Source organism: Homo sapiens, chromosome 9 (assembly GCF_000001405.40).
Source record: "Homo sapiens chromosome 9, GRCh38.p14 Primary Assembly".
NCBI lineage: Eukaryota > Metazoa > Chordata > Mammalia > Primates > Hominidae > Homo > Homo sapiens.
In genome coordinates, this window is record NC_000009.12 from 87,830,822 (window position 1) to 87,855,143 (window position 24,322).

At 44.1% G+C, this 24,322-nt stretch overlaps 1 long non-coding RNA gene and 2 pseudogenes across 3 annotated transcripts; 1 reads left to right on the forward strand and 2 right to left on the reverse strand.

The window, feature by feature from the left end:
* FBP2P1 (fructose-bisphosphatase 2 pseudogene 1) lies at nt 1,927-6,404 on the reverse strand (annotated as a pseudogene).
* LOC112267903 (uncharacterized) lies at nt 13,696-22,811 on the reverse strand. Of its 2 annotated transcripts, XR_930087.2 has the most exons (6): nt 22,070-22,811; nt 17,482-17,877; nt 17,223-17,332; nt 16,908-16,961; nt 15,105-15,192; nt 13,696-14,085 (listed from the first exon to the last, which is right to left on the reverse strand). It is a non-coding gene; the product is annotated as an uncharacterized LOC112267903 (long non-coding RNA). The 2 variants fall into 2 exon arrangements; XR_001746818.2 differs by lacking the exons at nt 13,696-14,085; nt 15,105-15,192; nt 16,908-16,961; nt 17,223-17,332 and having other exon boundaries at nt 17,465-17,877.
* Nucleotides 13,924-16,603, forward strand: CTSLP8 (cathepsin L pseudogene 8; annotated as a pseudogene). The gene is made up of 3 exons (NR_033405.1): nt 13,924-14,125; nt 15,041-15,204; nt 16,401-16,603. The product of NR_033405.1 is annotated as a cathepsin L pseudogene 8 (transcript).
* Nucleotides 22,812-24,322: the final 1,511 nt, after the last annotated feature.

Here is a 24,322-nt window from a genome sequence, read left to right on the forward strand (position 1 = left end):
AGTTGCATCCCTTGAAACCACACTACAGGCAGGAAATTACCAAGTCTTCGGGTATTTTAGTTACCTAGCCCTTTATTGGATCCAAGATGAAACGTCTTGGCCTGACTTAACAGTGAAGACTAAGGTGAGGATCCACAATTCTATTTTACCAGAAATCCTACTTCTAGGAATACCTTCTGAGGGAATTTTCAGATCAGCAAAGACGAGGTACAAAGGGGCTCACTGCAATATTTTTTTATGGAGTGAAAAGCTGGACACAGACTAAGTGTAGAACAACCTGAGAATGATTAAATACGTTATGGTACAGCAATGTGCTTTTGAAGAATTTTTAATAACTAGGAAATACTCATGAAGTAGATGTAAGTAGAAATGCAGGTTTAAAAACTGTATTTATAAGTGGATTACATTTGATAACTATGTAAGCACATTTGCAAGAAAACAAAACCTAGAGAGATGAATGATGATGTTCACAGTGGGGTTACTGAGAGTGAAGAAACTTACACATGGTTTTTGTTTACATTTTATTTTTTTTGGCACCTTCCATGTGTTACACATGAACAAACACAATTCTTATATTTGGAGAAAATGTTAAGTCATGAAACCAAAACATTTAAATACAGAAAGAATCTTTCAGAAGACACACAATGAACTACCAGGAACTAGAGATAGAACTTATATCCCTAAATTCCTAGTTTTTAAGCCCAGAATGACTCCACATAACAGACGGAGGTGTTGCTACTCTTCAACTTACCTTTGCTCTGGAAAGGAAACTGTGAGAAATCTCTCAGTTAAGGATAGATAGATAGATAGATAGATAGATAGATAGATAGATAGGAAGGAGGATGGATAGATAGATAGATAGATAGATACATACATACATACATACATACATACATACATACATACATACATAGACAGGAGGGAGGGAGGCATGAAGGGATATAAGAATGGGTGGATGGATGGATGGATGGATGGATGGATGGATGGATAACTATAGATGGGCATAACTTGAGGGAGGAGAGCAAGAGCCTCTGAAGGTGCAGGATACAATTTGGCCTTGACTAATCACGGCCATTCATTTTCACAACACTGGGGAGATGTTGGCTCCTTGGCCCACATATGCTTGTTAAGAGAGTGTTCTGAGAAAGCCACAGTTTTAGCAGACAAAGCCCAGGAAAGTTTCACCAGAGAGTTCTCCACCACAGCAATGGTCTGCTCATTCCTCTCATTAATTTAATAAACAAGGGAATTTTGCAAGAGTTTTAATGGAATATAATTACAGCCCTGATTTGGCTCCTTCTGGCTTCTTTTTGTTTTCTAATATTAAAAAACCTTTAAAGGGCATCCATTTTTCTTGAGCAAATAACATAAAAAAGACTGCCTTGGCAGGGTTAAATTCCCAGGACCTTGGGTTTAGGGTTGGACTAAGTGGCTGGTATAAACCCTTACAAAAGTGTCTTGAGCTCAATGGAGCTTATGTTGAGAAATAAATTTTGTATTTTTTATTGTTATATTTTAATTTCATTTTTTTCCATGAACTTTTTGAAGTTCTCTTGTGTAATTATTCCTTCGAAAAGCAAATGCAACTGAGTGAGTGAATCTGCAGGTTGGAGCTTAGATTAAACAAATGACTTAAGAAAGGTTCTGGCCTGAGCTCTGAATTTTGCAAGTGTGATCCCTAACTTTTGCTACAAACAATTTCTCCTGGAACAACTTAAATGTAAAGGGAAGTATTACCTTTAGAATGTAAATTTTAGCTATAAAAGATACTGATTGCTTATGAAGAAAAGCAGAGTCTGCCATTCTCATACTGTCCAGAACTATGAACAGTGGCTCCAACCTCTTTCAGCAAGGCCCCCTGAAGCCACCACCCAAACAGGACCCCATAGAGACAACACTTTCCCTCCGACCCACCTGGGCTTTCTTCACTCACCTCAGGGAATTTCTTTTTCTGCACATATTCGGTGACGGCCCTGTCAAAATACTTAGCATTGCCCTCATTCAGGTTGTAAATCTTTCCTTTCTTACTAATCTTGACATCTTTTTCCACCAGTACAAATTCACCAAGAGCCTAGAGAGATGAAGAGAGATGCCAGGAAGAAGAGAGACGCCAGGAAACAGAAGCCCACAGCTGGCAGAGCTGGGGCCTAGCTGTGGTCACTCTGGAGCCTGCCCCGTGGTGTTTTTATGAGTGGTGGAAAGAACAGTGACAATATGGAGCCCACAAAGGAAGCTCAAGCAGTAACATAGCAAGAGGGAAGACAATTCAAAGGGAAGAGGCCCATGGTCTTCTTTCTTTTTCTTTGTGATTTCTACTGTCAGGGAGGCTCCTTATTTATAAAGAACATGACTGTGTTTATCTCCCAAGTTCTCACCCCCAGATTAATGTTTTCAGAAAGACTTGGGCCATCAACAATTAGAGGAGAAGTTGTACTGATGTGTGAGGGATGCATTTTGACAATTTGTGGTCCAGTTATTTCGTTTATGTTAATGATTCAATCTCAGAAACCATTAAAAGTTTCTGGTATCCCAACTACTCTTACCCGGGGAAAAGAGGAGGTTCTTTCAATTGGAAACTGTTCGCCTGGCATAAAGAAAAAGTTGGCAAAATCTAAAGGAATCCTCAGACTTATTAATAAAATTGTGCCCAGTCCCTCTTATAGCCACCATGGTCAATACCTGCAGGGCATCCCTCAGACACCCCTTTATCTAGTTCTGGTGACATCAGTCACTAAAAGTGTGATCAGCTCACAACAGACACCACCTTAAATGCTGATGTCTCTCTAAGTCACTAGGGGTAAAGTCAGGGCCTGAAACCAGATTCATTTTGATTAATGTTCAAGATTTTGAGAAAGTGAGAAACTCCAAAATGACAGCTTACAGCTAACAGCTAGCCCAGAGTTTCCCAAGGAACATCAGAGATATTCCCAGAATATAAAGAAGGAAGGCCATGCTGTCCATGTCTGAAATAAGATGGTGACTAGGAGACTCAACAACTACACATTCCTCTCTTCTGCTAACAAGACTGACAACTGCTTCTTTACCAATGACTTCACTTTAATCTCCCTGGCTCCTAACTAAAAATTATTAAGATAACTAATCATTAATTGCACCCACTTCCAGGCAATATCCAATCCAGACTGACCCTCTGTTCCTCAAACCCTCTTTAGAATCACCAAGCAAAACCCCGTGGTTCCTCTGCAGTGCACTCCCCCTGCCCAGTAAATCGAACTTCTTTTTATTACAGGCATGCACGTGATGGTTTTTGTCTCATGAGCTTTAACTCTCTGTGGACATCTGTTGCTTTGGAGCAGACCAGCCTTGAGTTCCACTTCTGAAAAGTGCCCTGACATCCCTTAAAGAGTGGGATGTCAGTCTAGAAAGATCCGTATCTGGGCCTCTTCTAGACCAAGGCCAGGCACGTGCCTTAGCTTAAAAATTATATACCCCTCCATGGGATTTGAAACCTGAGAGACAGGCACAGCACTGGAGTTGGTGTCCAGGACAGAGTGGCCGTGTTGCAGGACTACTGCCATGCTTTCTGCTTCCTGGTCCTCTAGCCCTGCCCGTTCCTAGCCAAGGTCCTCTGCTTTCCCAATGAAACGAGAAAAGTTCCCTTATCCCCCTCGCAGGGCATGTGATGGGGGTGTGGCTTGCTGTTTCCGAGCCCCGCCGCTCAAACCTCTAGGGGGAGCATGCAGACAGGCAGGCTGTGGGGCTCCGACCCCATGGCAGCATCTAGGTGTGCATGTTTACAGCTGAAGCCCCAGTGGGGCGTGTGTTACAGAGTGCTCTTTCAGTTTAGCCATCCGTCCATAGGCGGCTTGCATTAGTCAGCTCAATTATACGCCCTGCCTTATCTTCCGCCATCCACAGGTCAATGGCCTGATGGCAGATGCCAGTGTGTTCTTCCACCGGCGTGTTCCTCTTGAAGTCCAGCCGCTTGGGTGCGTGCCCGCCAGGGTCTCGGGGTTTTTATAGGCACAGGATGGGGGCGTGGCAGGCCAGGGTGGTCTTGAGAAATACAACATTTGGGCACTGAAACAGAAATGCCTGTCCTCACCTAGGTCCGTGGGCACAGGCCCGGGGGTGGAGCCCTCACCAAGGACCCTGCCCTTTTCCTCCCAGCATTTCCCTGCCCCCTTCTCGTATCACCATCAATGCAGTAACTCCTTTCACTTAATTGAGCTGGGGTCGATTTTGCTCTTGCTTTTCAGCAAAGAGCATGGAGATGCGCAGCTGTCATTTAAACAGCGGCACTCACTCTCCACCTGAACAGAGGAGCTCATTCTGCATCAGGGTGGGTGAAAACGCCTTGGGTTGATCCGCTCCTGGGTCTGGGGCAGGGACTCTCAGGCCCCTGGAATGTTGTTTCCACAGTTTTATTAACCTGGAAAATATGCCCCTTTGTTCTGATTGTGTGGTCACCAACTGCTGATTTTTAATATGAGCTCTCATACACTCAGATAAGAGGGTCCCTGATGATCGGGCACCAGATCCTTGTCACTGAGAAACAAAGAATCTGTAAATGAATGCTTTGACATTGAGCTTTATCCCACAATGGGGAGTTGGTTAACAGGAGGTGGTCTCTCTGTGCCTGAACAATATGTGTGTTCTGACAAAATCAAATCATCAGGTCTGCAAACCCACAGACCTCACAGGCTGAGTTTGACCCACCAGGGAATGCTGCCTCCATCACTGCTGACTGCCCTCCATGGCATTTCTATCTGTGACAACTGCCACAAGCTATCTCCACTGGACGTCAACATCCCAAACAGGCACTAAGCTTTGTGCACTGGGTCTTTGCTCAAATGTCCTTTATAGTAGAGTGATGTGATCCAAAGGGGTTTCAGGATAATACACAGAAATCAGGAAAGATTATGCTATGGTTCATCTCTTCCTTCTGTTATGCTGACAAGCTCTCGTGCCCACCTATGTCCAGACTGGGCCCTGCTGTCGTGACTGAGGGCAGAAAGCAGAGGCTCTGTCTTTGCCTGGGAATCCTTGAGTTGAGTACCTGAGTCAAAGCACCTCCCGTTGCCTTTAGAACTGCTCAGAATGTTCTTGGAGATATTTTACTTGTACTCAAGAGCAGTTGTTTTTGAAATTCGGTCTGGTTTAGTAGTTAAAGCACAGATTGCCGGAGTGTGACTCCTGACACCACCAGTCACTAGCTTGACCTCAGGCAAGTTACTCACCCTCTATGTGCCTCACTTTCCCCATCTGAAAATGAGAATAATAGTAGGACCTACCTCACAGGGCTGCTGTGATGTTTAAATGCATTAATAGATGTAAATTCCCTAGGACAGGTACCTACATTCCTACAACTTATTAAGAATTATGTTAGCTGTTACTCTATAGCAACTGTAGAAAGGGCAATTTATTGTCTGAGAGTAATATGTGTAAGCCATAGAATTTCTGAGGGTTTGCCAGCTTCTTTGAAAATAAAGGGAAACTGTGGCATTAGCAAACTGACACAGCAGTGGGCCTTGGTCTAATGGGTTTATAGGTGAAAAGATTTGAAAAGTTTCTGGATTTCCATACTGCAAACCCTGTTTTGTTAACTCTGTTTCATTTTGAAATTTGCAATCCCCCTCTCTCCACATACAAACTGACATGTGAACTCCACAAGGGCTGGCATGTGTGTTTGATCAATGTTGTATCTCCACTGCCTGAAATGGTGCTTTGGGATGTAGTAGATGCTCAATAACATCTGTAAATCTAAATTAAATTTAAATACAGACCTTTCATCTAAGTGAACACAAGGGGTTTTGAAGTCGTCATTGGTCAACATTATCTGAGTTTTCACAAGACCTCAGTGTATTTGGCAAAGCATTTCACAAGTGATAAACAAGGCATCCAGCATTTAAAAGCAAAACTCACAGAGCATTCTATGGGATGATGCTGCTCTAAAGCATTCATGCTTCTGTCTGGAAATTCGCAGCATTACGATTCTTAAATCATGGAGTTCTCATAAACCAAAGAGATCGAGTGCATTTTTGAAAAATGAACTCCTTAAGGACAGGGCTTGAGTTGATGCAACTGACTCTGCAGGACACCCCTACCCCGGGTTCCCTCACTGGGACAAAGGCCCTTCATGGTTTCTGATGATGGCGTTGGCTCCCAAAACTAGGTTTTCAGACTCTCTGGCCCCAAAAACAAGTATTAGGAATGACCAGGAAATTATCCCAGGGGACTAGCATTAAAGCACAGAGGCCCATCAAGTCCCCAAGCCCAGAGGCTGCCATATTCTGTACCTACCAAGTCAAGCATGAAGAGGTCCACCCCTTGCCCTGTGGAGAGAGCCACCAGGGTTGTGCTACTGTACAGTGTATAAACTATGGTCACAATGTTGCAGCCAGGCTGCAGGGCATCCCTTTCAGAAGGCTTGTCCTCTGAGGTCTGTGGAAGAAAGGAGAGAAACACGGTGTGTTATTGTTTCAGGAGAGAACCCTTTGTCAGAGGCATGGGATTCAGATCTCCTTGAACCACTGAAGAAAGTGCAGTTCTTAGAATTTTAAGCTGCCACAAATCTATCCAGAGAAAATGAGTTGCCACGTTACCGACAATTCTAGCTGAGCTATGGCAAAGGCCATTTTTGGATTTCTTCCTATTTTCCAAACGCATGTGTCTGCAGCCTGCCAAGAAAAGCACTCCCAGATGCTAAAATCGTAAGCTGCACTCCTGAGCCATGATAGTCACAACTCAGATCACTGAGCGGAGGGTGCAGCGTCTCACTCTGCACACTCAACAGCTATCTGAGGCACATAGCACTGTCACCTTCATGGCTCAGTGGGAGAACTCTGAGAAAAAAACAACCTGAGATGAACAATCTACTGCAGTTGGAACAGCTGCACAACTCACTCAACAGCAGGAAGCCCTGACTCTGCTTTCTCTCTGACTCTGTGGATGCTCCTCATTTGCTTCTCTTCCCCACAGCTCCTCTTCCTCTGGTTCTTTAAATCTTGGTCCTCTTTCTAGTTTTTTTCTAGCCTTTGGTGCATCCAGCCAGTGCAAATGGTTCTTCCTCACCCCCTTATCCAAAATTAGAACTCTTAGCTGCTACGTTTATATTGAGTCACGCCTCCCACCACACAAACACACAGACACACACACACACACACACACACACACACACACACACACTCTTGATGGGGTAGGAGAGAGAGTCCTGACCTAGAATGGCCCAATCAGCCTCTCTCCTCCAGATATCTAGAATTAGAGGACATTCTGGTGATGTAGAGTTAGAAGCCTTGTAAATCTGAATGGTCTCACCCCTATGCTCTGACCTCATGATTTGGTATTCCAGGTGCTTGATGCCATGAGCATCCAGGGCTACTTCTTTGAAGCTCCCAACACATTTTCATTCTTGGGTTTAGTGTCTGACTTCCAAGCTACACTGTAAGCAACCTGAAGGGAGGTACCCACTCCGTCTTGTTCATGTCTGTTTTCCCACCATGTAACACAATCTGGGCCATGATCATTGCATTTAATTAATACAGACAAACACACAGATACATATATATGCAAGTTTATACACACACATAAATATATACATGCATACATGTAGTGCTTTTCAGCATAAGAATCCTACAAACGTTTTTTAGATTTATATAATACTATTTCATTTTTTAAGTGATTAAAGTACATATTTTAAATTTAATTACTATTATGAATTAGTTTATTGCTAATATATAGAAATCCAGTTGGTTTTGTATGTTGATCTTGTGTCCTGTGACTTTGCTGAACTCACTCATTCTAGGGAGTGTTTTGGTTTTTTGTTTGTAAATTCCTTGGGATTTCCTATACAGATCATCATGACATCTGCAAAGAACGACAATGTTATTACCTGCTTTCCAATCTTTTTCCCTTCCATTATTTTTTTTGCCTTAGTGTGCTGACTATGACTTCCAGGGTTACATATGTTGAGTAACAGTAGTGAAGGAGGACATCCTTGCTTTGCTCCTGATCTTAGAGGATAAGCATTCACTCTTTCACCATTAAATACTAATGCTAGCTATAAATTTTTGTAGATGTACTTGATAGGGTTGAGGTAAGCTCCTCCTCTATTTCTTGTTTTCTAAGATTTTCTTTTTTTCAGAGACAGGGTCTTACTCTGTTGCTCTGCCTGGAGTGCAGGGGTGTGATCATGGCTCGCTGCAGCCTCCAACTCCTAGGCTCAAGCGATCCTCCCATCTCAGCCTCCCAAGTAGCTGGGACCACAGACATGCACCACCACCCACCTCTCCAGCTAATTTTTTTTTTGGGGGGGGTGGGGATGGAGTCTTGCTCTGTTGCCCAGGCTGGAGTGAAGTCACGCAATGTCGGCTTACTGCAACCTCTGCCTCCTGGGTTCAAGTGATTCTCCTGCCTCAGCCTCCCAAGTAGCTGGGACGATAGGCGTGTGCCACCATGCCCAGCTAATTTTTTGTATTTTTAGTACAGACGGGGTTTCACTGTGTTAGCCAGGATGGTCTCAATCTTCTGATCTCGTGATCCACCCGCCTTGGTCTCCCAAAGTGCCGGGATTAAGATGTGAGCCACTGCACCCGGCTAATTTTTTTTTTTTTTTTAGATAGGGTCTTTTTACTTTGCACAGGCTGGTCCCAAACTTCTGGCCTCAAGTGATCCTCCCACTTCAGCGAGTTTCTTTTTTAAGTCATGAATGAGTTTTGAATTTGTTCAAGTGGTTTTTCTCCATCAATTGATATAATTATATGATTTTTCTTCTTTAGCCTGTTGATATGGTGGATTACACTGACTGATTTTGAATACCGGACCAGCCTTCTATTACCAGAATAAATCCCACTCAGTCATGGTGTATAATTTGTCTTATGTGTTGTTGAATTCTACTTCTCAATACTTTGTTAAGGGTTTTTTCATTTATTGATGAGGGATCTTGGTCTTTGGTATTCTTTTTTTTTTTTTTTTTTTTGAGATGGAGTCTCGCTCTGTTGTCGGGCTGGTGTGCAGTGGTGCGGTCTCGACTCACTGCAACCTCCGCCTCCTGGGTTCAAGCGATTCTCCTGCCTCAGCCTCCCAAGTAGCTGGGATTACAGGCACTCACCACCACGCCTGGCTAATTTTTGTATTTTTAGTAGAGATGGGGTTTCACCATACTGGCCAGGCTGGTCTTGAATTCCTGCCCTCGTGATCCACCCACCTCGGCCTCCCAAAGTGCTGGGAATACAGGCGTGAGCCACCGCACCCAGCCGGTCTGTAGTAGTCTTTTGTTTTTGTTTTTTTGGAACTATTGTTACCAAAACACCAGGGGTTTGGTCTAGGCCTTGCTGCTTACCACACAAAAAGCCAATCACTAAGACAATAAGTACTGCAAAGGAAGAAGGCTTTAATTGGGTGCTGCAGCTGAGAAGATGGGGGAGCTCAGTTTCAAATCCATCTCCCTGACAGACTAAAACTAGAGGTTTATATAACAGAGAAGAAATGTGACAATGTGCAAGAATACAGGAACTAGAGAGGGGAAAGGAAGCAATAATGAGGAATGAGGGCTCCAGGCTTCTCATTGTCAGGATGTGGTGATCTGGTGACTTTCAGTTCTCTAATACTCTTTTTGAGAGGTCTGAAGTTCCTTTCCTGAGGAAGGAATTCATATAAAACAAATGTAAGCTTCAAGCTTTAAGAACAGAAAGGTCAGTTTCTATGTTTATCCGAAAGAACAGTCTATGAGATTATTGGGTCAGTTTTACTATCATTGTCTGGTTTTTGTATCAGAGTAATGCTGACTTTATAAAATGAATTGAAAAATGTTCCTTCCTCTTCTCTTTTCTGGAAGAGATTGAATAACCTTTGAACATTTAGTATAATTTTCTAGTGAAACCATCCGGGCCTGGAGATTTCTTTTTTGAATTCTATTTTCTAATAGTTGAGCCCTGAACCTAGTCTTTCAAATTATCTATTTTATATTGGGTGAGTTAGAGTACTGTGCTTTCTGAGAAGTTAGTCCATTTCATCTAAGTTATCAATTTTATGTGTGTAGAGTTGTTTATAATATTCCCTTACTATCCTTTTGATGGCTCCTAACTTTTTGAAAAACAAAACAACCTGAGATTAACAATCTAGGTCATAAATACATGATTCTCTGATTGTTTTCTCAACAGAAATTCCAAATAATTAAATTACTGGGTAAAAAATCTTTTTATACATATTGAAGTTTTCCTCCAGAAAGGTTGCATAAATTTATACTTTTACCGTCAGTGATAAGAGGGTTCTTTTTAATTTATTCTGGCAAACACAAGATAGTATTGTCTTTTCAACTTCATCAGTTTGGTGGAAAAAAGACCTCTTTTTTGTTTTAATTTCTATTTTTATGAGTGAGGTAAACTTTTTAGAGTTTATTGATCATTTTTATTTTGTAGGTTGTATATTTCATGTCTTTTATTTTTCTATCAACATATCCATCTTCTTGTTTATTTATTTGTTTGTTTGTTTGTTTTGAGATGGAGTTTTGATCTTGTTGCCCAGGCTGGAGTGCAGTGGTGTGATCTTGGTTCACTGCAACTTCTGCCTCCCACGTTTGAGCAGTTGTTCCTGCCTCAGCCTCCTGAGTAGCTGGGATTACAGGCGCCCACCACCGTGCCTGGCTAATTTTTGTAATTTTTTTTTTTTCTTTTTGAGACAGTCTCACTCTGTTGCCCAGGCTGGAGTGCAATGGTGCCATCTCACTCACTGCAACTTCCACCTCCCAGGGTTCAAGCAATTCTCATACCTCAGCCTCCTGAGTAGCTGGGATTACAGGCGCCCACCACCACACCTGGCTAATTTTTGTATTTTTAGTAGAGACGGGGTTTCGCCATGTTGGCCAGGCTGGTCTCAAACTCCTGAACTCAGGTGATCCGCCCACCTTGGCCTCCCAAAGTGCTGGGATTACAGACGTGAGCCACCACACCCAGCCTATATTCATATTTCTATTCACAGTATCTCCTACACAGTGTTTTCCTACTCTATGGGGAGAAATCAGGTAGATGGCAGAAGACACAGGTCAGATCTCGAGAAGAGTTTCTATGGCCTCCAAACAAGCATTTATTGATTATAGACTTAGGGGTGGATATTACGAATGTGGGATGTCCCACAAGGTTATCTCCTGTGCTATCTAATGCACCAAGCAGCTTGTCCATAACTTAGTTTAAATATATCCGTCAGGCTCCATGCCCACTTGCTGTAAAAGCAAGATTACTGAGTTAATCTTAGATTTTAAAATGGAAAACTGGGCCTCACAAAAGCAGTTGGAAAAGTTACCTGGAGATTGTTTCTAAGGCAGTCCCCAACTGTACCAAGCAAAGGACAATATGTACAAAGTCAGAGCTTCATTAACTCTTGATGATTGATTCATTCACTTACTTAATGCAAGACTTCAGGGGAAGAAGAATCGCTGAGTGGAGGAGACTGGAAACAATGCATTATGAAGCGCCCATGGTCTCTGGATACCCACCCAGCCAGTCCCCACCCTCCTAGGGTCTGGTCTTGACCATCTCATCATGTGTTTTGAGGGTGCGTTTTCCTACCAGTTGTATTTTGTTTGCTGTTTTTTGTTTTGTTTTGTTTTTGAGACAGGGTCTCCTCTCGCCCAGGCTGGAGTGCAGTGGTGCGATCTCGGCTCACTATAGCCTCGATCTTCCGGGTTCAAGGGATGCTCGTGCCTCAGCCTCCCGACTAGCTGGGACCACAGGCGCAGGCCACCGCACTCGGCTAATTTTTGTATTTTTAGTAGAGACGGGGTTTCGCCAGGGTGCCCACGCTGGTCTCGAACTACTGGGCTCAAGTGATCTGCCTGCCTCAGCCTCCCAAAGTGCTAGGATTACAGGCATGAGCCACCAGCAACATGCCCAGATTCTTCTATACCCTTAATTGGGAGATAAGGCTTCTGCCTGCGGGCTGTGAGTTCTTCCAACCGGCCCCTTCTTTGCTGTGGACTAAACAGGAACCACTGGGCTAGAGTCCTCTGGCTCTCGGCCCTGCAGGAGATTTTAATAAACAATTCTAGGCCTAAAGGAAAAGCAGGGTTAGGCTGAAAATGCACACAGGGCTCCTGTAAACTTCTTTTCATGAACCACCGGCCCAGGGCATTAAATAAGGTACTTAGTTGATCCGAACCCTCCAGGGAGACCTCCGACCCTTCTCTTCGTAGCCCCCAGCTCCCCTCCCCCCGGTTCCACTGAGGCAAGTGGACTGAGCCGCTCCACAGGCTAGGAGTCAGCCCGCCGGAAGGTCCCGCCCAGCCTTAAGAAGTCAATTAGCTGCTTTCGGGCGGCCTTAGGCGACGGGAGACTCCTGGACTCGGCACCTGCCCACTGTGCCTGTCCACCTGTGGCTACTGCAGCTGAGACCCCAGTGGGCTGAGATTGGACAGGGGCCACCAGGGACCCAGCAAGTCCTTCAGCTCGGTGAGTGAGGGATTTTCAGGAGTGCCAGGCCGCAGTATTCCCAGGGCTGGTGGGGTGGGACAGGGAGGCTCGACCCGGGCAAATCAGGCAGAGGCGCCGCTTGCTCCCTGCACCACCACCCACCTCCTGGGGCCACAGTGAGCATGAGCGGGGGGTGGAAGCAAGAGGCAGGGGACCTGGCCTGGGTCCCCAGCCCAAAGCCTGGGAAGCTGCCTACCCCTGTGTGGGCGCGGACACTGGGGACTCTGGCTTCTGGCGGTTCGGCCACCTGATTGGGTTTATGCTCTATGAGGGGAGTTGGAGTGTTGGCAGGACTGGCCCCTGCAGGACTGCAGGACTGCGGGAGCGGCGGTAGATAGGTGCTCTCCTTCCCAGTTTCTCCTGGGAAGACATTCAAGAACTGTTTCCGTTACAAGGGGTGTTTGGAAAACATACTTCACCTTCTGCTATGCATTAGCCAAGAACAAAGTGTGAAGTGACTTCCCAATTATTGGGGATCCCTTTGTCCCTTCTTGAAATTAGATGTCTTCATTAGTGAGGTTTTGCCTGGATGACCTCAGCACAATTGGTACAAAACCTGGGCCAACGGTTTCCTAGTTTCCTGGTTGTTGCCTTTAACTTCTCGCCCATAAGGTACCTTCCTATCCTTTTCATAGCCTAAATTATCATCCCATAAAACTGTTTCAGCTCCTACAGCTCTGGACAGGCTGCTTTTCATTTTGGTGAGTCCATCCAATACTTCCACTTGCCTTGTTTTTCTCCAACCAGATCCTTGGCCTCTTCCACAGTCCTTAGGTAAATGCATGGGAGAATAATTTAAATATTTTTATTCTATCATGGTGGCCCTAGTTTCTCAGGGGGCAGTAAGATGACTTTTTCGGATTAGTCTAATCAGATCCTCATTTCTTTTCCCTTCCCAGATTTTTGAAACATGAACCCTTCACTCTTCCTGGCTGCCTATTGCCTCAGCTGCTGTAACACGTGACCACAGTTTAGATGAACAATGGACCAAGTGGAAGGCAAAGCACAAGAGATTATATGGCATGGTTGGTGGCATCTGAAACTGTCCAGGGGAACCCCAGAGAGATGGACCTTGCTATTGGGATCATACGGCCAGAAAGTAGCTTCTAGATGCCAGCTCTTACCAATAACCTAATGCAATAACTTAATAGCACCGATTATGAGCACGATATGGGCATACACCCTTGTTGTGTCTCAGCTTGGAGAACATCTCCCAGAGGTGTCAAGCCTTCCCCTGCCATGGTTACTCTTACATCTCTGTCTGAAGATTCACTTGGTTAGCATAGGCTGGGTTTTAATTAGAAATAAAGAGCATCAGTTACATGTTTGTCTTTAGAATGAAGAAGGATGGAGGAGAGCAGTGTGGGAGAACATGAAGATGATTGAGCAGCACAATCAGGAACACAGCCAAGGGAAACACAGCTTCACAACAGCCATGAACGCCTTTGGAGACATGGTGAGTGTGCTGTGGACTGCTGAACTCTGTGCTTCCTCTCCTCAGTTCTTTACCAAATCAATCTCTTGCTTTTTAACATTTTATTTACTTTTCCTTGAAGACTAATTAAGAATTCAGGCAGGTGATGAATGGTTTTCAATACCAGAAGCACAGGAAGGGGAAAGAGTTCCAGGAACGTCTGCTTCTTGAGATCCCCACATCTGTGAACTGGAGAGAGAAAGGCTACATGAGTCCTGTGAAGGATCAGGTGAGACTGTGTTAGGTTCAGACCTCCCATCACCCCAGGAAAGCCAAGAAGCAATTGACATTTGTGCTATGCTAGACTGTGCTGCAACATGCAGTTCACTTTTTAAAGGAGTATTTAGATATATGAGCTGTTGTTAAAAGTCTTGCTCTGTGTGTGTGTGTGTGTGTGTGTGTGTGTGTGTGTGTGTGGATATCAGCTTTTTTATTCTCTTTTCAGGGTCATTGTGGCTCTTGTTGGGCTTTTAGTACAACTGGTATGCTGGAAGGGCAGATGTTCTAGAAAACAGGCAAACTTATCTCACTGAGTGAGCAGAATCTGGTAGCTCTGGTCCTCAAAGCAATGAGGGCTGCAATGGTGGCTTCATGGATACTTCCTTCTGGTATGTTGAGGAGAACGGAGACCTGGACTCTGAGGCCTCCTATCCATATGAAGGAAAGGTAAATGGAGCTCCTTTTCTTGCTGCCATTCCTGCTTTGTTTTACTGGGACACTTTCAGAGATAACAGACACTTTTCAGAATTCCCATTTTAGATGGTGGAATCTCTATCTGCAAACTGTCAGTATTGTCATTATAAATTATAGCCTTTGCACAGTTCTGTGATTACATGGTTAACATGCAGCTGTTCTTGCTTCTATGTAACATGGAGAATATACAAACCATTCTACATATAATACACATCTCCATTGTGAAAAATGTCTTATGGAAAGTAAACCTAGGGGTCTCACTGAAGAGAACTGAGCTAATTTTCCGTTTCAAATTAACTATTAATAATTACATTTCACTTCCTTGGATGATTTGTAAGAGTGTTGACTTGGAAATTCTATGCTGCAAACTGCTGAGTGTTGTGGTTCCGACTCATGTTCCCCAGGAGAAGGATGGTAGTAATCAAGTCTCCTCCCTCTTAACCTTTAAAAGGTTAAAACCTGTAGGTACAATCCCAAGTATTCTGTTGCTAATGACACTGGCTTTGTGGACATACCTTCATGGGAGAAGGACCTGGCGAAGGCAGTGGCAACTGTGGGGCCCATCTCTGTTGCTGTTGATGCAAGCCATGTCTCCTTCCAGTTCTATAAAAAAAGGTAAGCATCTTTCTTCATAGAAATTATTGCAGAAAAAAAGTAAACCACCATGACATACCAGCATGATGGACTCTATACACGCAATAATCATACCTAATGCTTCCATTTGATATTACGTTGAACGTATGTCCATGAATACATGTACTTCATAACTTTTTATAAATAGCTATGTTATGTATAGTTTAATTTACTTAAATATTCTCTAATTGTTGTATTCTTAGAATTTTTCCAAAGTTTTTTTTGTGATTAAATCTGAAAAGAGCCTTTTGATTCAAGGATTTTGGTGTTCTGTGCTATTTTTAAGATTGATATTCTAGAGTAGAATTACAAGCTTAAAATGAGTGGTCTTTTATGCCTGTAAGAAAGTTTTTTTATGAGGGACTTATGCTAATTTCTATTTCTGCTAGTTGTGGATGACAGCCTAATTCCCTAGCCTTGATAACAATAGATCTTGTTAAGCCCGATCTGGACTGTGTGTCATTTCACTGATTTTAGAGTTGCCTCCCTCCCTGTGGGTGACAGGGTGGGTTACTCTCAGGTGTCCTCGGGAACTCCTCACCCAGCCTTCATTTTATTCTCTCGGAAATTTATTTTGAGCCACGCTGTGACTCTGAAGGCCTGGATCATGCTATGCTGGTGGTTGGCTATGGCTATGAAGGATCAGACTCGGATAACAAATATTGGCTGGTGAAGAACAGGTATAAATTGCCAGAAAGACTTATAGTTGAAATTCAAAAGGGAATCCTTTTTTGCAATCAATGTTTACATACCACAAGCCCTTAATCACATTTCTGAAATCCCAGAAGTCTTCATCCCCCTTAGGCAGAACACAGAATATTAATGATTGATTGTAACATCTAGATACTGTCACAAGCATGCTGGGGATATTAATATAGTATTTGTCCCATTGCATGTCTAAATTCTGAACATTTTCTTAATTCTGAAGCATATCTGGCTGGAAAGACATCCTATCCTTTTTCTGTTTCTGATTTTGCAGTTCCATGAAAGGTCACAGTTTTGGGTGTGGGATCGAAGTGATATGCAGGTTTTGACTCAAGAATTTATAAGGGATGAACAGGAACATCAGCATCTCCTGTTTCTTTATGTTAAGCCTGTGACTTCTGGCACACTGTTTAAGTTAATAACCCAACGTGCTTTATCCTGCCTCTGAAATGGAAAACCTGCTCTCCTTTCAGCTGGGGTAAAAACTGGGGCATGGATGGCTACATAAAGATGGCCAAAGACCGGAGGAACAACTGTGGAATCACCACAGCAGCCAGCTACCCAACTGTGTGAGCTGATGGATGGTGATGAGGAAGGACTCGACTGAGGATGGCACATCCAGAGGAGGAACTGATCTTCAATCTACCAGCCCCTGCTGTGTGAAATGCACACTTCAATCATTGAAGATCCAAGTGTGATTGGAATTCTGTGATATTTTCACATTGGTAAATATTACCTCTATTTTTATTACTGCTATAAACATGTTTGTATTATTGATTCACTTACTTTGTATTTTCATTTTAAAAGGATGTATACATTTTTACCTGTTTAAAATGTAATTTCAAATGTACTGGTGGGGCTTCTTTCTGTTTTGATGCACTGACTTTTTTGTGTAGTTGTATTAGTCTGTTTTTGCGCTGCTGATAAAGACATACTCAAGACTGTGCAATTTACAAAAGAAAGAGGTTTAATGGACTCACAGTTCCACATGGCAGGGGAGGCCTCATAATCATGGTGGAAGGTGAAAGGCACATCTCACATGGCAGCAGAAAAGAAAAGAAAATGAGCGTCAAGCGAAAGGGGTTTCCCCTTATAAAACCATCAGATCTCATGAGACTTATTCATTATCATGAGAACAGCATGGGAATGACCTGCCCCCATGATTCAATTACCTCCAATCAGGTCCCTCCCACAACATGTGGGAATTGTGGGAGCTAAAATTCAAGATGAGATTTGGGTGGAACACAGCCAAACCATATCAGTAGTCAAGCATGAAACTGGGCTCTAAGCCATACCTGCTCTGCCAGTGGTTCACTAGGAGGAACAGTGGGTGGCCTTCTGGCTCTTCTAGTAACAAATGTGCAGATCTCGTGTCAGCTGCCCAGTGGTTGTGTCTGACCCAACTCTTGATTGAAGCAAAATATGACAAATGATCCATAAGGACAAAGGAAAATTGTTTTAATAAAGAAAAAATTCACATTTTTCTTTAAAGTGATCAGACATACATGTAATTTCAATACTGAAAAAGAGCCTTAGAGATCATGTTTATCTCACCCATAGTGGTTGCAATCCAGTCAAGTTACAGGGCAAAGCTATCAGGGCCAGTTTCTGGAGCATCCTCCCCAGCTGCTGGTGAAGACCCCATGGCCACTTTGCAGTTGAGGTGAGACAAAGCACTAGTGCGTTGACAAGGCTGTTTGTCTTCGGGTCCTCAAGGGATGAGGGGTAAAATCCAGGGTGTGAAGCTGGGCTTCAGGAATGGTGTGCTGGCCTTAGACGGTGGAGGACCAGATGAGAGGACCCAAACTGAGAGTCTGTGGCCACATTTACACCAAGCTACCCTGTAAGGACCTGAATTATTTTAACAAACAGAAAAACTTCCCACATTGTATTGGCTGAAAGAGCACATAGTTTCATCGTCTGTGTTTTTTCAAAAGTCTCGTGTTCTCACTGAAAAAAATATAAAAGATAGTTAGAAGTGTTTAGTGAATAGACGCCATAATCTTGCAGGAAGAAAACTAGGTGGACAATGGGGTCTCATCCCACAAAGCCTCCAGCAGGCTCCTTTTAAGTTCATCTGAATTGGATCATGTGCCATGCTGGACTCTTATGTGCCCTTCCCTAGTCGTTGCTAAAACCATCTTTTTGACATAAAATGACAAAAGTGGCAACTGTGAAATTCTTTGGATTTTATAATAAAGGTAGCCCATGTTAGCAAGAAGATTGGGAAGATTCCCAAGGTAAATCCCTTAACTGTGCAGGCTGGGTCCTAGATTTGATACAGTTAGAATTTATGCAGCACCCAACATATGCAGGTTATCACCATGGTGGAAGAGAGAGGTCTTGACCTCAAAGAGCTGGAATTGTTAGGGAAAGGGAGGTAATGAGGGAGGGCTTCCAGGAGGAAAGGAAAGCCAACATCAACCAGAGCAGCCAGTCACTAAGGGAAGGTGAAGAGGTGAGCATCTTAGCAGAGACTAGCACATCAGTAACCCTGAGAAATGACTCTGCAGTGAGAGACCCTGCAGAGTGATTAGGTCCAGGTGTTGGGTGATGAAGCTTGCTAAGTGGAGTGTTTGAACATAGGAGGACCACTGGAGAGTGCAGGAACAGACTGTTCTGGTTCTCTATTACTGTTCTGGTTTTCTATTACTCTATTACTGTAAAACAAACCACCCAGAAACTCAGTGGCTTTGTAGAAACATCTTTCACATTTTCTGCCTGGACTTGGCTGTGTGGTTTCATGGGGAGACATCTGTAGGCTCTATCTGTGCTGGAGACATCTGTAGGACTTGACGGGACTAGACATCTGCAAAGGCTCACTCACACGGCTGGCCGCAGATGCTGGTGTTGGCTGGGCATTTAGCTTGGGCTGTTGACCAGAGCACCTGCCTAGGGCCTCTCCATGGCTTGGGCTTCTCATAGCATCAGTTCTGGGAAAAATGTATACATATACCTTGGCAAACTTTAAACACTGAATTGCACAAATGCTTATGTTCATCTTTATCATTAAATAAATTGATAAAGAAAAGTATTACGAGGAGATTTGGTCTCTTTTCTCCAGTAATACAGTTTAAAAATCTCATAATTAACATAATTAAAGTTTTTCTATACTTATACTTTCAATAAGTATTAGGCGTTTTTATTTATTTATTTACTTTTTTTGAGACGGAGTTTGGCTCTTGTTGCCCAGGCTGGTGTGCAATGGCGCGATCTCGGCTCACTGCAAGCTCTGCCTTCCAGGTTCAAACAATTCTCCTACCTCAGCCTCCCGAGTAGCTGGGATTACAGGTATGCGCCAGCATGCCTGGCTAATTCTGTATTTTTAGTAGAGATGGGGTTTCTCCATGTTGGTCAGGCTGGTCTCGAACTCCCAACCTCAGGTGATCCACCCGCCTCGGCCTCCCAAAGTGCTTGGTTCTAATCTAACCTGATTAAAATCTTTTTAAAAGCAGGACAAAAAATTCAACATTTTGTATGATTACAGCTACATTAAAATATATCTAGAAAATGCAGCTAGAGGAAATAAAAACTTTCATTGCCTCAAATTGCCGCAAAGCCAAGGGGCACTGCCCATGGCCAGGAAGGGTAAGCCCTGGAAGCACAGAGGTTGCTGACTCCCAGCCCAGCAGCAGCTGGACCCTCAGCCCCTCAGTGCCTGGTTTCTCCTTGCACATGAATCCAGGTCCCAGCATCTTGTCATTGACAGGAGCAGCCCTGGCTCACCCTCTTGGAAAACAGAAAGATGCTAATGGTTGCCAGCTGTGAGGCAACCTGAGGGCTCTGAAGACCTCCTGTGGGGCTCACACAGGGGCCAGAGCCTCAGCCTCTGACACCCGAGAATGGAATGGGCAGGATGGGTGGGGCAGAGAAGAAGAAAGTTCTCCAGATGTCCTGGTTAGTCACCCTGATCCTTGGAAATACACACTCAAGGCTGAATCAGGGAGAATCAAGTCTCTTGGCCAGAAAAACAAGCCATTATGGCCAGCGAAGCCCTCGCTAAGCACACACAAATACACATATATGTGCATCCACAAACGCATAGAATTACACACATGCCCAATACACACACATGTACATGCACACAAACTCATTATACAAATGAACATGTATGCACAAGACACACCTATACACATACACTTATGTACAGATACCCAAATGCACACATATTCACACCCTTACACAATACACATGTATATACATGTACTCCTGACACATATTCACACACATGTGCACACACACATGCATACACACCACAGTATAATACACTTAGTAGAGTAGCATCAGGGGATCTCAGTTGTGGTCAGATGGCCTTACACTTAGTCCGAATTGTTAATAATTGAACTGTGTAATTTTGTCTAAATCTTTTCATTTCTGCTTCCAGCCCCCAAAAGAGTGTGGTTGACTCAAATCATCTGGAAGTTCTCTTTAGTTGTAAAATTCTGTGATTTCAATGGGAAAAGACAGTATCAGGGTACTGAGCTCCTTCTCTGTACCCTGAGGAGGATCCTGGGGGCTGGAGTCACAGCATAGGGTGCTTGTGAGGCCATCCTCACCCAGCGCCAGCCCCAAGAGTGTTGCCACCAGGGATAGCCCAGCGTCCCCACAGACCTCTGCTGTGGGCATTCCTGTGACTTCTTCCCTGCCCCTCCTCCCCACGCCCATGCACTTCCTTCCTTTCTGATCAAGAATATGCCTTGGGAGCAAGTAGGCAGGAACCAGCAACCTTCTGAGGCCCAGAGCTTCCAGAAAAAGGTCAGCAGCTGTCTGTCCTGGGGACGTTTCCTGGTGGAGGTGGAAGGGGGCTCACTGCTCCTTAACACCCTCTTTCAAGAGTGCCTCCCTAGTTTACTTTTTCTGGCCAGGGCATTCATTTGGAGCAGACAAGCCCATCCCCTGTCCCAACTCAACATCTGGAAGTTGCTGGGTCATGGGCTCCAGGTGTTGTTTGGAGCCTCTCATCAAGTGACTTTTGGTTGTGATGACAAAGTTGGACTGCATCTCAGGTTGCCACCCAAACCTCAGCTACAATCTCTACAAATTGCTCCTGAAAGCAAATTTCACAGGCAGCTGTGGAGCTGAGCCCATGGCCTGGTAGGTGAGCCAGGATGTGGCCCTCACTGGGCATTTCATCCCTGTTGCCAGCACGGGGCTGGCACCATACTGGTACCCAACAGTCCCTTGTTGGAAGGATGAATTTGAGCACCCTACTACTCATGAACAGCTTGGCCTGATTAAGTTCTCAAGAATCCAAAGGCCTGCAAAGACTATGACATCCTCCCATATATGAATTCAAACTGAACAAAAACCCTGCGAACAAACAAACAAAAGAGCCAAGGAACAATCACTTCCCACTAGGAAGACCACCTTATAGGTGGTTATTTTGGAAATAACAATCTTTCACTTTTCTTATCCCCCGTTTCTCTGGGGGTTCTGCTTTGCTGGGCTGCTCTAAATACAATGGGTAGTCCTATACGTTACTCTGCCAGCTTTATTGTTACCTGGGCATTTTTAGGTTCCAGCTTTATCTTTTTATTTTTATTTTAAAAATGTGGTAAAACATAAATAACATAAAGTTGATAATTTTAACCATCTTGAACTGCACAGATTGGTGGCATTAAATACATTCACATTTTTATGCAACCAACACCACCATCCATCCATGAATACTTTCATCCTGCAAAGCAGAAACCATCTTTTTACTCCCCTAGCAATCATGCCCTGCTCTCTAGCCTATGTTTATTTCATAGTACATAGAATATCCTAGAAGCAGAGAATCTGAGCAATGGAGGGCACCTGGTAAGGCTATCTCTTCCAAACACCTGCCCTTCAGCAAAACCACATCTGGGGTAGACTGAGCCAGACAGAATCAACCTTGTTTTTAAATGTACAAAGCTAGGCCTTCTTTGGAAGTCACATATTTGAAATATCAAGTCAGAAAACTCTTCTTCTACAGTAAAAGTTTTCTTTATCATTTCCTCAGTTACTGTTTTTCTTTTCCAGATTGAAAATAACCAGTTACTGTCCTCAGGGAATCAACAATCTCATGAGCAATGACTTCCTGGGAGGCCGTGGTTCTCAAACGTTAGCCCACCTTAGTGTCAGCTGGAGGGATTATGAAAGCCCAGAACGCTGCACCTACCTGCAGAGTTTTAGATCCCAGAGGTCCAAGGAGGGCTCCAAAAGTTGCATTTCTAGCAAATTCCCATGTGATGCTGATGCTGTTGGACTGGGGACCCCATTTTAAGAAATGCTGTTATAAGGCCCAGTGCTAGGAAATCTGAAGGATAGAAATATGCAGGTACCTAAGAGGTGGGAGCAAATGGAATTAACAAGGTAAATGGGTTCACCTCCATGTGGAAGGTGCCAAACGCCCTTCACATAAGCCCTTTGCTGTCACAGAGCTCACAAGCTCAGGGTGCAGTACAGGAGGCCGATGTGAACGGGATGTCAGCCGTTCACACCGGGAACTGTGTGGGCACTGCAGGGGAGAACAGCGCTCAGGCTGGGTGAGGAAGGGGCCGGGGATGGCTTTCTGCAGACCTGGAAGCGTCAGGAGCCATTCCTGGGTGGATTCTTAAAGAAAAGAAGGTGTCCAGACAAAGAGGCCAGGCGAGGCACGTGCTCTTCCAGCAGAGGAACAACCTGGAACTGAAAAGGGGACATGGAGCATTCACGGGGCAGCAAGCTGTGCAAGTGTCCCCAAGAGGAGCATGGAAGTGAGACAATGAGGACAGAGTGCAGAGGTGGGCAGGGCGAGACTCAGAGGGCATGGCAACACAGGAAGAGGAGCCCAGGCGATATTCTGAAATCTCCTTTGACATCGAGGACAGAGGAAGCTTTGCTAAGACTCCATATAAGGGAGCATTAGAGAGGAAAGGAGAAGCGGGAACACAGCTCTCCCCAGTCCTCTAGATCCTATAGGATCCCCTATAGGATCCCCTATAGGAACCCCTATAGGATCCTATAGGATAGCCACTATAGGATAGCCTAGGTGCAGACAAAATTCCCTTTCCTTTTCGTTTTGTTGAAAGATTTTGGAATTGCGGGGAGGGAAACTTGTAAAGACACTGGGCAAGCCTAGAACCAAAATGAACACAAAGAGAATATGGAAGTTGAGTCTGGAGGTGAACAGAGGAGGCTTCCAGCTCCCTTGTGCAGGCTGTGCAGCCTTGAGCATGTTACTTCTTGTGCCACAGTCTCTGTATTTAACAGAGACCTGATTCCCTCACAAGACCCACAGGACCTCACAGGGCTGGCCTCCCTGCTGTTTTCAGCCTGAGCTCACAGGCACTGGCTCTTACTCTTCCTGCTCCCACTCCATAAGCCTCTTTCAGACTGGGTTTGCCAGGCTGTCTTCTGCCCCAACCCTTTCCCCAGGTGGTTTCCTCCATCTGGAGTAGTCTTGCCCTCGCCTGACTAATTAACTACATTAAATCTAAGACTCACTCCCTCAGGGCAATCTGATCTCCCTGCATAGGTTAAATCTCTACTCTTAGAGAGTTTTAAGCATTGGGAACTTTTACTTGATAGCACTTAGCAGTTGTTATTTCTGTAATTAGTTGTTGAATGTCTCTTGTACTAGAACAGGGGTTAGCAAAGCATAGCCAGCTTTGGCCTGAAGTCTGATTTTGTAAATAAAATGTTAATGGAGGAGATGAGGTGCCTACAGGGTCATATTGCTGGACATGTGGAATAACCGATAAAGATCAACATATTTTGATTCATTTGGATGATTGACGTAACAGAGAGCTTCCATATCCTCTCAAGGCCTGTATTTTTATCTATTTAACAGTTTTTTTGGTGCCAGGGAGTGACATTTTCTTTGTTATGGAGAAATATTTTTTTAAAAAAAGAATGCACAGGGAGTTAATATGAAATATTGTGTTCTCACCAAGTGAAGGCCAAAAGACTTCATTACAGGATGCACAAAGAAAGCCTCTGTGTAACTTACATAAGGACAAGTGGTGGAAGCATCCAGTTACTGCAAAGCAGGCCGCTAACAGGCGGGTGTCAGGAGAGTCTGCACGTGGGCAGGGAGTGCCACTTTCTCACGGCGGAGGGGAGTGACTGTTCTGCCTTTTTTCCATTACATTAAAATTGTCATTTGAATTTTATGAGGCCCCTATATTTGTTGATCTGCAAGTTTCTCTAGGTTTTATTGTTGCAAGATATCTATATGCATACATTCTTTATCTTTAGTTTTAAGGTTACATATAATTTATATATAATATTTAATAAAAATTAAAATATATGATATAATAAAATATATACACACATGAGCAGAGGCAGAGCAACAAGAATAAGGTTTTAAGACACACAATCAGGAGAGAGAAGGGCCCATCAAAGTAAATGGACAAGGGGAAGGGGGCACCTGTAAATAGCGGGCATCCTG